The sequence below is a fragment of the Homo sapiens genome, chromosome 1 (assembly GCF_000001405.40).
Source record: "Homo sapiens chromosome 1, GRCh38.p14 Primary Assembly".
Classification (NCBI taxonomy): domain Eukaryota; kingdom Metazoa; phylum Chordata; class Mammalia; order Primates; family Hominidae; genus Homo; species Homo sapiens.
The window spans coordinates 71,030,387-71,046,505 of record NC_000001.11 but is presented as its reverse complement, the minus strand read 5'-3'; the positions used below and the strand labels follow the sequence as shown (position 1 = coordinate 71,046,505).

Below are 16,119 nucleotides of genomic sequence, written 5' to 3'. Positions count from 1 at the left end.
ACTAGCTGAGCGCCTTCCAAGAGCCAGGATTCGCATTAGGCACTGTTTATGAGCACATAGAGATCACAGGGCTGCTCACATTCTAGTCGGGTAGGAGACAGGATGTGTCATTGAAATGACATATATGCAGAGCTAGAAGTTTGTCCTGAGTGCATTAAAAGCAGAATTGCTATGATAACTGTAGCCTGATATTGTGGGGTTTTTTTTTTTTTTTTTTTTTGAGACGGAGTCTCGCTCTGTCACCCAGGCTGGAGTACAGTGGCGCAGCCTCGGCTCACTGCAAGCTCCGCCTCCCGGGTTCACGCCATTCTCCTGCCTCAGCCTCTCCGAGTAGCTGGGACTACAGGCGCCCGCCACCACGCCCGGCTAATTTTTTTTTTTTATTTTTAGTAGAGACGGGGTTTCACCGTGGTCTCGATCTCCTGACCTCGTGATCCACCCGCCTCGGCCTCCCAAAGTGCTGGGATTACAAGCGTGAGCCACCGCGCCCGGCCGGGTTTTTTTTTTTTAATTTCAAATTCCTCTTTCACGTTAATAAGATTTTCAGTCTGCAACCCCATACAGTCACAGCCCTCCTGCAGCTTCTGAAAGACTGCGCGACCTATGGGTGCCTTCAAGGTTCATTCTTGATGAGGCAGGAGAATGAAAGATACGAGTTGCCTCCTCAGCCTTTCGCCATGGTGCTTGACCCTCTAGGAAGTGCCCGAACGACAGTCAGTGGGATCCGGAAGCTCAGCAGCTTCTTCAGGCCAGCATTTACTTACCCTTGTAGCACTCAAGCAGGGTTCGCTAATCCTGAGATAGGAGGTAGAGGTTTCTCCATGTCCTAGCTCCTCACACCAGAGCAATGCAGAGGAGCAAGGGATGTTTGCAGAGGCTCTTTGCCTAACACCTGCCCTTACGTGATATTTTTGAGGTTTTTTTGTCTGTGTTACTTTTAGCTAGAAATGTCCGTGTGTAAGTGCTGTTTACTAATTCCTGAAGAATGGATGCTTACTTAGGCCCTGGGGTGTCTGGGTTAATAGATGTTGCAGAAAGAGCGATATGGTCACTGTTACAAAGGTATAACCAACTATATGTATTATACAGTTGTGGAAAACCTTTGAAACACGTGAACGCAGTTTTTTTTCTTTCCTAATTATGGTAAAATATATTACATACAATTCAGTATTTTAACCATTATTATGTGTACAGTTCAGTGGCATTAGGCATTAAGTACGTTGAGTTTTTTGTGCGCCATGTATACTTTTAAATCCCTTGCATTTGAAAATAGAAATGTAATTTCTTTAACCTGGTTTGGTAGATTGGAGCACAAACCTTGGCTCCAAATCAGTGACATGAGGGGACAAGGAGTGTTATGCTGAGACCTAACTGCCCACAAGTCGCTGTATGGTCACAGTTCTTTATTCCAGGAGTTGGAACTCAGGCTGATGTCATCACTATGGCTTATCAAAACCAGCACCAGTTTTAGATATACAGTATTTACTTTTATGGCTGAGGAATGGAGTGTACAGGTGGCCAACTAGGAAGGAAGAAAGAGTTCTAAATAGTAAACACTTTACTAAAGTGTGGTAATTAATATAACTTTAAAGGCAAACAGGGTATCAGTTTTTCACAAGTGTCATTTGAGTCCCACATCTTTGAGTTTGCTGTATCACATGATTTATATCCTAGGGAAAAAAAATGCAGTTAAATCAATTGAACAAAATACCCATACAGTTAATCAGACTTATAATTTATTGTTTGTGCATTTTGTTTTTAAGTCAAAGCGAAGCCATGTAGTGTGTTTTTGATTTAGACACTTTAATTCTAGTACCAAAAGTATGGTGGCCTCAGAAAGAAAGTAGATCAATCTTGAAAACTGTAATTTAGGATGGCCAAACTCACTCTTTCAAGAAAGACTGCATTTGAAACTAGTCTTACTTAATTTCAATTTATTTTCATTTGGATAATACTTATTGATTTATAGCATTTTACTGGGTACTTTATTAATTCAATTATAAAAACATTAAACAAAATAAATTAAACATGTGATCATATCAAAAAGGAGAATTTTTTTTTTTTTTGAGACTCTGTCTCAAAAAAAAAAACTCCAGGCTGGAGTGCAGTGGTGAGATCTCAGCTCTCTGCAGCCTCCACCTCCCAGGTGCAAGTGATTCTACTGCCTCAGCCTTTGGAGTCACTAGGATTACAGGCGCCCGCCACCACACCTGGCTAATTTTTGTATTTTTAGTAGAGATGGGGTTTCACCATGTTGGCCAGGCTGGTCTCGAACTCCTGACCTGAGGTGATCCGCCCACCTCGGCCACCCAAAGTGCTGGGATTACAGGCATGAGCCACCGTGCCCGGCCTAGGAGAAATGAGAACTTTTTAAAGAAAATGGTTCCATCGGCTGGGCGCAGTGGCTCACGCCTGTAATCCCAGCACTTTGGGAGGCCGAGGTGAGTGGATCATTTGAGGTCAGCAGTTCGAGACCAGCATTCCAACATGGCCAAACCCCGCCTCTACTAAAAATACAAAAATTAGCGGGGCATGGTGGCATGCGCCTGTAATCTCAGTTACTCGGGAGGCTGATGCAGGAGAATTACTTAGGCTAGGGAGACAGAGGTTGCTGTGAGCCGAGATCACGCCACTGCACTCCAGCACGGGTGACAGAGCAGGACTCCCTCTAAAAAAAAAACAAAAAACAAAAAAAAAACTCCAAATATCTTCAAAAAGATTTACTGTACAAAGTTGGAATTACTACAAAGAAAAGAAACTGGCAAAGCTGCTTTCTTAATAGAGAATTATAAGAATAAAAACACTAGAATTTAGTGAATTGAATTTTCAGCATATTAGTGTTAAAATGAGAGATTAACGCTGTTTTTTCTAACTATGAGTGTAATATAGGTTTCCTGCTAGCATTCGTTAAGTTGGGTGTAGGATACTATTCTAATTGTCCAAACTTCTTACTTGAAAGGACCCTGAGTATATCCTGGAAGACTATCATGACTATAATAAATATTCAGTTGTTACTGCAGGAAAACTTGGTAGTACAGAAACACCATAATAAGAAAATGTCCCAACAGCTACAAGTTCACACTACATAAATACTTAAATAGAGGTTTATGTATCCTTAAACAAAAGCTTTGTTTCCTTTTTCTTTTTCTCAGAAATTTTGCAAAATACAATATAAAATGTGAAATTAAGAGAGTACAGTGGGAAATTATGTCACCATGATAGATGACCTACAGTTTTTAGTTACTGCTTATGTAAGGCATCACATTGTCATTCTGTTGCAATCAGCCAGTTCATCCAGCAATGCAATCTATTTGATTTTTATCATTATTTTATGTTTTATATTTTATGAATGATGCTCACCATAGCTCAGTTGTTTGACCTGATAGCTAAATTTCCAGAAATGGGAATAACCTTAGGATTTTGTTCAAAGGAAGCTATGAGTACATTTTGTACTTTTATAACTTGGCACTCCCAAACAGGTAGAATGTGGCTAATACTGTAAGCTATCTCAAAAACAGTAAATACAAAGCCAGCTATGAACATCATGAAAAGTGAGGTATGAGCAACAAACAGTTTCTCATCATCAATCTTGGAACTGGATAAAAGCAGCCTTAGAAACTTTTGCCTTTAATCTTGAACCACTGAATTCCCTGCTCAGTATCCACAAATACAGAGATGTTTCAGTTCAAGAAGATATTTCACAATGTAGTTGTGATTTTTTTTCATTTTAGTTAAGGAGTCACTGATGTATTTTGACAAGCGAAATTTGCCTTTAATATGCCACATGTGGTAGATATGTATGATGAATTATTTTCAGAAATAATGTTGTTTTATAGCATATAAAAGTATTATTCAATTGCTAATCTCTTCTGCCTCAACTTTCTGCCATATTCAGGATGTTGCTTCAGAGAAAGTGATTAAACATATGAATCCACATTGTAGGAAAAATATTCTATAATTTTTCTCTTTTGAAAAAGGTGTGAAGGTCAACAAAATATTCTATGATTATAAAACTGATTAATGTTATAATCTGTTCAGAAAAGCAGAATTTCCACATTTATGAGTGAAATATTTAAAGAATTATAATACAAGATAGGATGTAATTAATGCCTTTGGCTCTCAGAAAAAAGTCAGTCTGAATTTGCCAGAGGAGATTTCCAGGAAGATGAATTGGCATAACCTCATTTCATGACTTCATGACTGAGAGCAAGTGTGTCCCAAAACCCAGCCCAATGAGAACAAAGGGTGCACACTAGATCAATGGGAATGATGTTTTAAAAATGTTCAAGAAAACAAATTTAGATGGTTAGTCCCTGAATGACAAGATGAGGACTTCACTCTTTTGAGTTTATCAGAAAGAGCCAAGAATTAAACACTTCTTAAGCCATCATCTTTGAAGAAATTCACATGGTCTGAAGTTGTAATATAATTGTGAGTCACTGGCCCTTCTCTTTTGAACAAGCTGTGAAGGTCAACAACTAAATTATAAAAGTTTCCATAGGTTTAGTTTTCTGGGACTAACACTCAGGAATATGCACCACAGGCATCTGTAACAGACTATGATTCATCTGAGGGTGCAGAGGGGTGGTAGGTGAGGGATACTGGGTGCTAAGTTTCAGTTTTTGGTTCTGCCCTTGCATTGCAGGACAGAAATGCAGGGAAGTCCCCCCTAAAACGCTGTACATCTGCGTAACATTTTTGCAACCTGCCAGTGTTCCACATTTATCTCATTCATGCCTCACAACACTAAGATCTACAACTGTAACATGTCAAATTCTTACTCTCCCATTTTTTCCAATTGCTTTACAAAAAGACAGGAAGGAAGTTTGTATTTCAACTCCTGCCAGCTGTGCTTCTTGAGAATCATTAGACAATCTCTCTAGTCCTCCTTTTCCCTAGAAACTTCCAACTTTCATAAAGATGGTAACCAATGAAGGAGCCTCATTTTGGGGGGGTTCCTCTTATATCTTGTCCCCTAAGTATATGGCAACATTTTACTGTAAACATAGTAAAGACAGTCTCTGACCTATGCTTTTTCAACTTCATGATGGTGTGAAAGGAATGCACATTCAGTAGAAACTGTACTTGGAATTTGGAATGGCGATCTTCTATTGGGCTAGTGATATGCAGTATGATACTCTTTGGTGATGCATGCACAGCTCCCAGTCAGCCACGCAAACACAAGGTAAGCAACCAATACTCCACAGTGGACTGTGTTGCCAGATGATTTTGCCCACCTGTAGGCTAATGTAAGTGTTCTGAGCATGTTTAAGATAGGCAAGGCTAAGCTATGATGTTCAGTATGTTAGGTGTATTAAACGTATTAAACGCATCTTTGATCTTACAATATATTCAACTTAACAATATTTTCAACTGACAGTGAGTTTACCCAGACGTAACCCTGTTTTAAGTTGAGGAACATCTGTAATTGATTCTTATACAGAAATGACAGTTGGGCAGCATATGACTGAGATACATACAACATGGGAACTCTCTGTGAATTCCTGCACCCTGCTCTCTTTACACAGAGCACTTCTTTCTCCATTTTTCATTGCCACTTTACCCCTCAGCCATTCAGCAATATCTGCCAAGCACCCACCTCTCTTGGATTGGCTAAGATCTCAAGTTAGAAGCCATTTTCTAGCGAAGCCTTCCTTCATCCTCTCTAGGCCGTGATTGGGTGCCCTGATCTCATGATACCCCGCATTTCCCTTTCACAGTCTGAGTCACACTTCATTGGAGACATTGGTTTATTGTCTTTCTGTTCTTTTAGTTCTGCTAAGGTCAAGTACAGTGTGTGTCTTGCACATTATTTTTTCCTAGGAACTATCATAATTGCTTGCCACATAAGGTCTGCCCAATACGTGTTTATTGACTGAATACTTTTTTTTTTCTTTTGAGACAAAGTCTCGCTGTTGCCTAGGCTGGAGTGCATTGGCATGATCTCGGGCTCACTGCAACTTCTGCCTCCTGGGTTCAAGTGATTCTCGTGCCTCAGCCTCCCGAGTAGCTGGGGTTACAGGCATGCACCACCACATGCCCTGCTAATTTTTGTATTTTTTTTTTACTAGAGACGGGATTTCACCATGTTGGGCAGTTTGGTCTCAAACTCCTGTCCTCCTGTGATCCTCTCGCCTCTGCCTCCCAAAGTGCTGTGGCATTACAGGCACGAGCCACCGCGCTGGCCTTGACTGAATACTTGAGCAACCAAATCAGAAGACAGGGTCTGGCCCCATGTAAATAAGCAATTACTTTTGGCCTTAGACAATTCACTTGATAACTTTATGAACCCTTCCCTTCCTTTCCTTTCCTTTCCCTTCCCTTCCCTTCCCTCTCCTCCTCTCTCTTTTCTTTCTTTTTTTCTTTCTCTCTTTCTCTTTCTTTTTTTTCTTTCTTTCTTTCTTTCCTTCTTTCTTTCTTTCTTCCCTCCCTCCCTCTCTTTCTTTCTTTCTCTCTCTCTCTTTCTTTCTGAAACAAAAATGCCTACCCAGCTCATTTCACAGTGTTATAATGAAAACCAACAAGATTAACATATGTGAAAATAATGGGGTAGTATACAGTACTATGAAAATACTTTATTACTGAGTCCTTTTAGCAAGCTGGGAACATTCCTTCCATATGAGGAATACCACTGTGATGTTTTACTGGATAGTAGTGTTGACTCTTGTGTTGAGATAGACCTTTCTCCTAGCAAACTGGAGAAAGGAGGCAAGTAGTGTTTCACAGCTTGATTAGTTATAGTTCATTGGGGAAAAAATGTGGTGGAGAATGCAACTTTCAGAAACAGAAAGAAAAATGGTAAACCAACTGTGCCTAATTTTTCTTTCTTTTTTTCTTTTTTTTTTTTTTTTTTTTTGAGACAGAGTCTCGCTCTGTCACCCAGGCTGGAGTGCAGTGGCGCAATCTCCGCTCACTGCAAGCTCTGCCTCCCGGGTTCATGCCATTCTCCTGCCTCAGCCTCCCGAGTAGCTGGGACTACAGGCGCCCACCACCACACCCGGCTAATTTTTTCTATTTTTAGTAGAGACAGGGTTTCACTGCATTAGCCAGTATGGTCTCTATCTCCTGACCTCATGATCCATCCACCTCAGCCTCCCAAAGTGCTGGGATTACAGGGTGCCTAAATTTTTATAAGGTATTGTAATTCATCCCTCCTTCCCTCCCCCTGCCACCATCCCTCCTCTGCATTCTCTCAGCCCTGTAATCTGTTCCCTTTTACAGCTTCTAGTTAGCTCTCTAACTCCAAAACACACTGATCCCATTTCCCCTTTCCCTTACACCTGAGGGAAGAGCTAGTACCTTGTGTCCTGAAGACCTCTGTCACAGGTCTGGAATGCTCTTTTCTGCTCGATGGCCCTGAGAAGGGGAGGACTTATCTGCAGTGAACAGTTCCCCTCCCCACCTGAACAGTCATTCCTCTGTGTTGGAGTTAAATGTGGGTCTTGCTAGCACCCACAGCCTCTCATGTGAGCTCTTTCCAGTCAGGGTCGTCTTCCTGTTATCCTATATGTGCACAAACCTATTCTCAATGGAATCTTGAGTTGAACTAATTGTGCATCTAACTGTTGTCTAGGATCAAGTCATTCTGCAAACTTCTTGAGAGAGTCTCTCCCTCAGTTGTCTTCATCTTTTCACAGGCAATTAGAAATGTTGGGACTGAACAGAACCTGTGCTGCTGACTGACAGCCCAGAATTGAATTTACACAAGCCTTAAGTCAGACCAAAGTGTGTGAATCATAGAGTTGTAAACTGCTTCATACAGTTTGACCAGGTCCTGACAACACATTAATATTATTTGTGGCCTGCAAATAGCACAATGTGTTATTTTTCTATCCAGTGGCCTTTCCAGATATTCTCTGGGACCACATTTATAGGGAGGACATTTCAGTGACTTATGTGGGTGCTTACTTAAAATCCAAATATTATTTTAGTGAACTAATTTTATGATAGATATTTGAAGGATCATCGATCTAAAATGAAAAATGGTAGCAGAAATGGAAGAGGAGGCTTGAGTATTCACACTTTATTTTTAGAAAAAAGAAAATGCCTACTAATTTAGGCAAAAGTTGTGCAATATAGATACAAGATAAATTCTCCACCAGATACCATTACTGTTTAAAAACTCTTGGTAATACAAAAACAAAAGGCCATGTTGGAACTGGAAGCCTGTTTATTTCAAGCAATAATTGGTCCCCAAATATTAAGTGTAATTTAAAACATATACTTTCCACTAATTTTTTGTTATATCCTGAGAGTAAATTTGATTTGTATATCTTTTTGTCTCTCTTTCTGAACACATAATAAATGTCATTTTCTATGGTTGAGAATATGCTGCTGTTGTGATTCATAAAAATTTGGAAAAAAGAAGTGTGTGATTAATGTTGAAAATGATGAAAGAGTGATTGTAAAAGATAAGATTCATTCTGAGAAATTCACAAGACAGTAAAGTGGAGCACTAATTGCTGTTTGATGTATGAAATTTCACTGGTAACATCTTGCTACCAACAACCTTATTTGGGTCAGAGCTCCTGGCAGATCACACACTTTCATATTTCCCCAAATAGAAGAATGCCTCAACAGCCAGCTCCTCAGCCACAGAGTAGCATCAGTGATTAAGTGACCCCCGACTTGTGAGGACTCCTCTCTGCTTCATAAGAAGAACAGAAGAAAGTTATTAAAGAAGCAAGTGAGTGCCACAGAGAGAACAAGGCACTGGATGGCAAGAGACCTGGATCTGGTCACGGCCTTGCCATGTGATCTAAGTCACTTTATCTTGCCGGACTTTCCTTTTCTAACCGGTAAGATAAAACGATTAACGACTCTAATCCTCCTTTCAGTTCTCACTTCCTGTAGCTCTAAATAGATTAAATCGTCCCTATTGGACATACTATTTCAGATATATGGGGGAAAATACGTAAAAACTTATTAGGAAAAAGCATAGAAATGTATGCAAATGGACAAAATAGATCACACATTCTTTTATCCAGCGATTCTATAAATATTTATTGAGAGCTTGTTATGTGCCTGCCACTCTCATCACTCTGGTAATACAGTGGTGGTCAGCACGGATTCATTTAGCTATAAAGGTTGAGCAGTTACGTTGCTCGAGAGAGTGCTATTCACATTATATTGTAAGACAATGACAATCTTTGGAGTTGAGCAGTATGCAATCTGTGCAGCTCTACGTGGTAGCCTCGATGGTAAGCCAAATGGAATGCTATCTTCCTTCACATAGCTTTCAGTCTACTAAGGTAGACAGACAGTAGATAATCAGTCGTTCCAATAAGCCAATGTAACTAGTCGGATAGGTCTTACTGTGGTTGCCCTTACTATCACACATGAGATTGGCCTCATGTGGGCAGGACACGGCTGGTCCAGTGCAGCATGATGGCCCTAATGGAACACGCTTGGCCCCAACTGTACTGGGTCTGTGCTTGGACTCCATAATTAGGGAGCACATTAATTCACACCTGTGACTCCAGCTGTAATGCTCAGCTGCAATTCTCCGAGCACAAACACTGCCAGAGTGAGTACATGGACTCAAAGGGCTGCTGACCTCAGGCCACATGCTGCTCTAGAATCAGCCTTACTTCTGGGATCATTAGGCTCTGGGTGGTACTCAGATTATCTCCTGAGAAATGTGTCTTTCCCTTTCTTTTTTTTTTTTGAGACAAAGTCTCGTTCTGTCACCCAGGCTGGAGTACAGTAGCACGATCTCGGCTCACTGCAAGCTCCGCCTCCTGGGTTCATGCCATTCTCCTGCCTCAGCCTCCCCAATAGCTGGGACTACAGGAGCCCACCACCACACCCGGCTAGTTTTTGTATTTTTGGTAGAGACGGGGTTTCACCGTGTTAGCCAGGATGGTCTCGATCTCCTGACCTTGTGATCCGCCCACCTCGGCCTCCCAAAGGGCTGGGATTACAGGTGTGAGCCACTGTGCCGGGCCCCTTTCTTTTATTTTTTATTTTTAATTAATTTATTTTATTTTGAGATAGGGTCTTGCTCTGTCACCCAGGCTATAGTACAGTGGTGTGATCATAGCTCACTGCAGCCTTGAACTATTGGGCTCAAGTGATCCTCCAGCCTCAGCCTCTGCATAGTTGTACTATTAGTTGTGCACCACCATACCCAGTTTTTCCCTTTCTCTAAGTTTTCTTTTAAGGCTTGTATGTCTTTTCCCTGTAGTGAATGTGGCCAAATCCACTCTGCTCCAAGTTTTTTGGCTTCAAATCTTGAGAGAAGAGGTTCAGTTTCTTGATCTCCTCTTTGACCAGAAGTCCCTGGGCCCCTTAAGCACCATCTACCTCTTCCCAAGTGACCACAGAGTGTTGTGTGGGTTTTCCTTTGGTATACCACACAATTTCCCCTGTGTAAAGCTAATGATTCCAAATTTACCAGAATAAGTAATTCTTCTGAAACTTCTGCTCCAATGTAATTTGTTCTGCCCACTTGACCAGAGAAGTGCAGATGGATGCTGGCATACCTTTTTATACATCAAAAACGAGCACTTTATGAAGGCAAGAGAAAGGTAATTTGAGAGAGTGTCAAGGAAGATCTCCTACTGATGCATTGGGATTAGGGAGGGCATCTCTGGGAAAAAGGTCATTTATGACGAGTCTTACAAGATAAGACCTCAAGGAAGAAAGAGCAGTATGTGAAGGTGTCAGTGCAGGAATACACTGGAAGCATTGGAGGAACTGAAAGAAGGCCAGATGGATGGATTAGAGTGAGTAAAAAAGAGATTGCCTGCAAGGCCAGCTAGGGAGGGAGGCAGGGCCAGATAATTCACAACCTTGTCATTTTTGTTTGGGAGTTTAGATTTCTACCACAAGTACAATGAAAAACAACTGAAAGCTGTAGGGGAATGATTTGATCTGCTTCATGTTTTAAGACCACTTAAGGTTGCCTAATGGATTAGATGGGTAGAGCATCAGAGCCCTCGAGTACTGAGGACAGATGGAGATGTAGAGACATTAATATAAAGAAAAGCCTTCTTCCTTAAATGTTGCTTTAAAAGAGGAGTGGGAAGTAGCTTGGCCTAGAATCGGTGAGAGAGGGGAAGCAGCAGTGGATCTGTGCAGATGCACCACGGAAAATATTGAACCAGATGTGCTGGGAATGGTAAGCAGATCTGTTTTTGTAGAAGTACATTTGAGAATGTCAAAAACTATAGATATAGTCAAATAGAGACTGAAGGGAAAGGGAGAAACACATAAGTAGATTGCTTAAGATTAGGAATGAGAATTTGTATTTCATTTTGGGCAATTTGTATTGATTTTCTATACTGTTCTATATTTGTAAAATAAGAGAGTGTGCATTATAAAACCTGAATTCACAAACCTCGTTTAGGAAAACAACTCATCTAATATTTGATATCTTTCTAGAATATTCTTAGTGAAATTGTTCCAGCTTTGTTTACACTTTGTTGAACACCCTTAATAATAGGAAATTTTTTACCTTTCAAGAACTCTAGGAATTTTCTTAGAGCCAAGATTGTGCCAGGCTCTTTCTCACACATACTTTTTTTAAAATTTCTTGCAATAACCCTATGAGATAGGCATTTTTGTCGCCAAAGTTATTATGATGAGAAAACTAAAGCTGAGAGGAGTTGAGTGATTTGTTCAAGGTAGCAAAGCTATTAAGTAGACAGGCTGGGATTGAAAGGCCAATAAATTTTCAATAAAGAAACAAAGCTGAGAACCATTTAGAATTCATTTGTCCATGTTTCCTCCATGCCATGATGCCTTAGAATACCCCAATTCATCTTGAGCTGTTCTTTGTATTAGAAAAATTCATTTCCCTTATATTGACTGAGTCAGAATCTGTCCTCCCTTTTGCTTCCACCCTTCGGTGCTAATACTAGCTCTTGGATTAGTTAGAGCAATACTACATTTATTTTTATTTTACTATTATGTTTTATCACAAAGAGGTTACATTTTTTACTGACAACTCAGTCACTGCATACATACTTTATTGCACAAGTTATAAGTGGATCAACAATTATATTAGCAATGTAAACTCATGTGCATTTACATAAAATGACTGCCCTAGATTCTGGTGCATTTTGTGCCAGGTACTTTGGTAAATATGGCAAACATAAAGGGACTTAGCTATTTCAATTTATGTGAACAAAAGGTAGCATATATATCATCTTATAAAATACCTGTTATGTCAAATCCAGGAAAATCAATAAATGACAAAAGGAACACATTAAAAGAAAATTTAGCGATAAAAATGTTAGATTAAAATATTAGGTTTAAAAACTTTAACAGTTTTTCCCTGCTAGTATAAATCATTGTTTTGTAGTTATTAATATAACTCACATAAATGAGTTTTAAAATAAGATTCTTCTCACTCAAAATAAAATAAGATAAAACTAATATTACCTCCACCAAATTACAAAGAAATCCTATCAAAATGCTGGCCAGATAAAGAATCCAGATACAGACACATCATAACAATACTAAATTTACTTAAAGACATCTTTTATTTTTAAAGGTTTTTTTAATTTTTAAAGATAAAAATACTATACCAATAACTATACAGAGTAGTATTACTAATGCAGCATTATATTATTAGGTAATGAGGAGTTCTACTAAGTTTTTAAGCAGAAAAATAACAAAAAATTACCTTGACCACGGCAGAAGGAGGAGCCATGATTTATAATTTATTTAGCAGACACTTATTGAATACTGATTGTGTGTAAGGTAGTGCTACAATGACGTGACCCTTGTCCTCAAGGAATGTGTTGTCTTTAAGACGATTTCCTGGAGAAACTTGAAATTGACTCAAAAAAAAAAGCAGCAGCATTTTCCATCTTTAATTTTCAAAAAAAGAAACAAAGCTGAGAACCATTCAGAATTCATTTATCCATGCATGCAATCAGTATTTGTTTATTGAGTCCATACAATGTGTCAGGCACAGTTCTAGGTGCTGGAAATATGGCAGTGAATTAGGCTAGTTTCATGCTCTCAGGGAATTAGCATTCTAGTGGAAGGAGAGAGGCAATAAATAAACTAGAAGTCTAGTGATTGTGATAAATACCATTAAGAAAATGAAGCAGTGTGCCAGAATAAAGCCTGAAGCATCCTTCTGGCAGCTATGTGGAGCTGGATTGCAGAAAGGTATGTGTGGGAACAGGGACACCAGGTAGAAGGCTGTTGAAGTCATCCAGGTAAGAGGCGGTGACAACTGGGATTGGAGTGAAGTACCCATATTGACATAGTGTTTTGGAGACAGTTTGCCAGACATTTTGAAATTTCTCTAATCCCTGTCCTATGACTCTGACAAGAAATAGGACCTCTCTCTTCCTCTCCAGGCCTTTGGTTTTGAGGTGGCCAGCTATCTACATATGGCTTTCCATTTGGCTCCCCAAGAAGGAAGTGACTGCTCTAAGCTTACACAACTAGGAAGAGAGAATTAGGAGGTAAATTTGATCTAATAGATGTTATTTCCTTTTTTCTGAGACATGAATCAGAACAGTCACACAGAGACACAGAAGTTACCAAAATTTGCTTATAAAATAATAGAATGTCATAAGATTCGTGATCCCCAGAAGATCTGGAGCATGCTGATTTCCAGGCTAGGTCTCAGAAGAAACTTTTTGTTGTCATTGTTCTTTCTAAACGGGTTCTGGTTACTGTTGGCCTCTTTTTCTCCTAAAAGGAGAGCAGTTCTCAAATTAATACTCCCTACTTTTAAAATCAGGATTGTTTGGCTGCAAATGATCGAAAACTAATGCAAACTAGCTTAAGCAAATAAATAAATATAAAAAGGTAGGGGGAGTTGCTTGATTCACATAAATTGCAGGAGTGTGAAGAGTGGAGGTGGCCTTATAGAAGATGGAAGCCAGCACTGTCTCTTTCTGAGACTCTAACTTCAGCTTCTTGCTATGTATCAGAATCCCCACTTCAGGCTCTGCTCCTAAGGAACCAGCCTAAGCCATAGCTTTGCAGCTCTTTGGCTAGGTCTTGTGTTCTTTTTTCAAAGCTTCAAGTTAATAAGTTTATATTTGTGGTCTACATGTGAGGTTTTAATTTTGCTTTTATAATAATACAATATTTTACTGAATACATCATCTTGAAGCACTGTTTAGACATCATAGATTTTTTCTATTGTTTTGTTTTATAAACACAAGAAACAGTCATAGATGACAAAGTTGCATTTTCAAAGACTAGTATGAGTTTTCTAGGCTATGAGGAAAGATTCAGGCTCAGAGAATTTTCCAGATTCAGGCTCAGAGAATTTTCCAGAAGTAAGAGTATAATGAGAGGTGGCCTTATAAGACGAAAATCTCACGAATACTCCATTAACACCATAGTGAGATGACTAGAGAAGAAAAAAGAAGTTCTTTCTTGATTTTTCCATAAAGGATGAGTTGTAGTCTGGGTTTTATGTTATTCTGGCAACCAGCTTTTTCTTTATAAATCAGTAGCTGTGCTAACGGCCAACATGCTGGGTGGCAGACTTTTGAATTTATTTAATGGTAGTAATTTTCTCCAAGAATAGACTAGGGATTTGCCTGGATCCAAAAGCAAATTTCTTAATATTAGCTTTTGCTCTATAAAAGACATTAGGGAACATTTTAAAATTCTTTTCTCTAGCATCTATTTCTAATTAAATTTTGCTACAGATCAATATCAGGAAGCATGGAATATCTTCTGACTTCAGAATTCTACCCTCCTCCTTAGACATGGTTCTGGGTTGCAAACAACCAACTGTGACTCCAAGTGCAAAGAGCATATGTAGAAGGATTTCAGGAGCTCACAGAGTCCAGAGAAATCTGGCAGGTCAGGTTTGGAAAACAGGCAAGACCCAGGATGTTCTTGATGATGAACTTCAGGCTGCACAGCCAAAGTCCTGCTGGAAAAATGTTTGCTGCATGCCTCTGTGATGAATCCAATGTCTAAAAACCCCCTTCTTCTTTGTGTTATGCTTGTAAAATTCAAACTTCTGTTGCCAGCCTGACTGCTGTAGCTTGGGTTATTTACCCCTATGCTATAACAAAGGATGAAGGCTCAGGCACCTCCAGCACTTGGTTTATGACATATGTGCTGGGATTTCTCTCCCACCCAGAATACAGAGAAACGGTTATCCAGAATTGGGATATTAATAATAAAAGGTGGGGGTTCATTTTTACCATCTATCCAATTTATTCGTAGAAACATTATAATAGTAACATACTTTTGAAGCCTTGTGCACATGTGCGTGTGTGCACGTTTGTGTGTGTGTGTGTGTGTGTGTGTGTGTGTGTGTGTGTTTTCCTGCCACCTATCTGTTGGGAAATTGGGGTAGCAGTGAGACTGGTGGAGCGCAAACTGAAGAGAGCCACAAAAAATAAAAGGACTTCTATTTACTGAATGCCTGTTATGTGCAGGTACATACTTGACAATTACCCTTTCCATATATTACCTAATTTAATCTTCACAACAATTTTTGAGTTTGTTACCTTTCATTCCCATGTTTCAGTTGCAAATAATAAGACAGAAAAGATTTTATAACTTTCTCTAATCATATTCCTAGTAATTAGTAGATCTTAGGCTTTTGTACACTATAATGCTATGTGTCACGTTTTTCTCTCTTATTAGTTTATAAAAATATTTTCAAATCACTTCGTTGAAAATATTGTACAAAAAAGAACAAATTGATTGAGAATAGTAAAAAAAAAATCACTGAAATTGTCTGGGTCAGATAATTATGGTGATGGAGATTTCCTGTAGAATAGCTATTGATTCATCAACTGATTGACCTTTGTAGGAGCTTGAGTATCTAGGGAGCATATTCTGAAAAATCCCGTAGAAGGTGACAGGAGTTTTCACTTGTCTGACAGTAACTTGTTAAATGATTCCATTCACCACGATACCGGCAATTTAGGAAGTGTTTTTTGTAAAGGTGTGGCATCAATTTTATTTACTTCTGTGTGTCTTTTAGGCTTAGAACATTCACATCCAGTGATAAAGTTTTACTAGGCAAACATTTTTCAGCTAGTACAAGTCACATATATTATTCTTTTCACTAAACTATTTATAAAACAAATAAAACTGTATATTGAATTCTTTTTGCTTGGTGGGAAAGTGTTTGACTACAGTCAAAATTAGAAACTTTGTTTTGACAGTTCT

At 39.2% G+C, this 16,119-nt stretch overlaps 1 protein-coding gene across 12 annotated transcripts in view; it reads left to right on the top strand.

The window, feature by feature from the left end:
- Nucleotides 1–16,119, top strand: part of PTGER3 (prostaglandin E receptor 3) — a 195,459-nt gene that overhangs the window by 1,311 nt on the left and 178,029 nt on the right. The window lies entirely within an intron of this gene.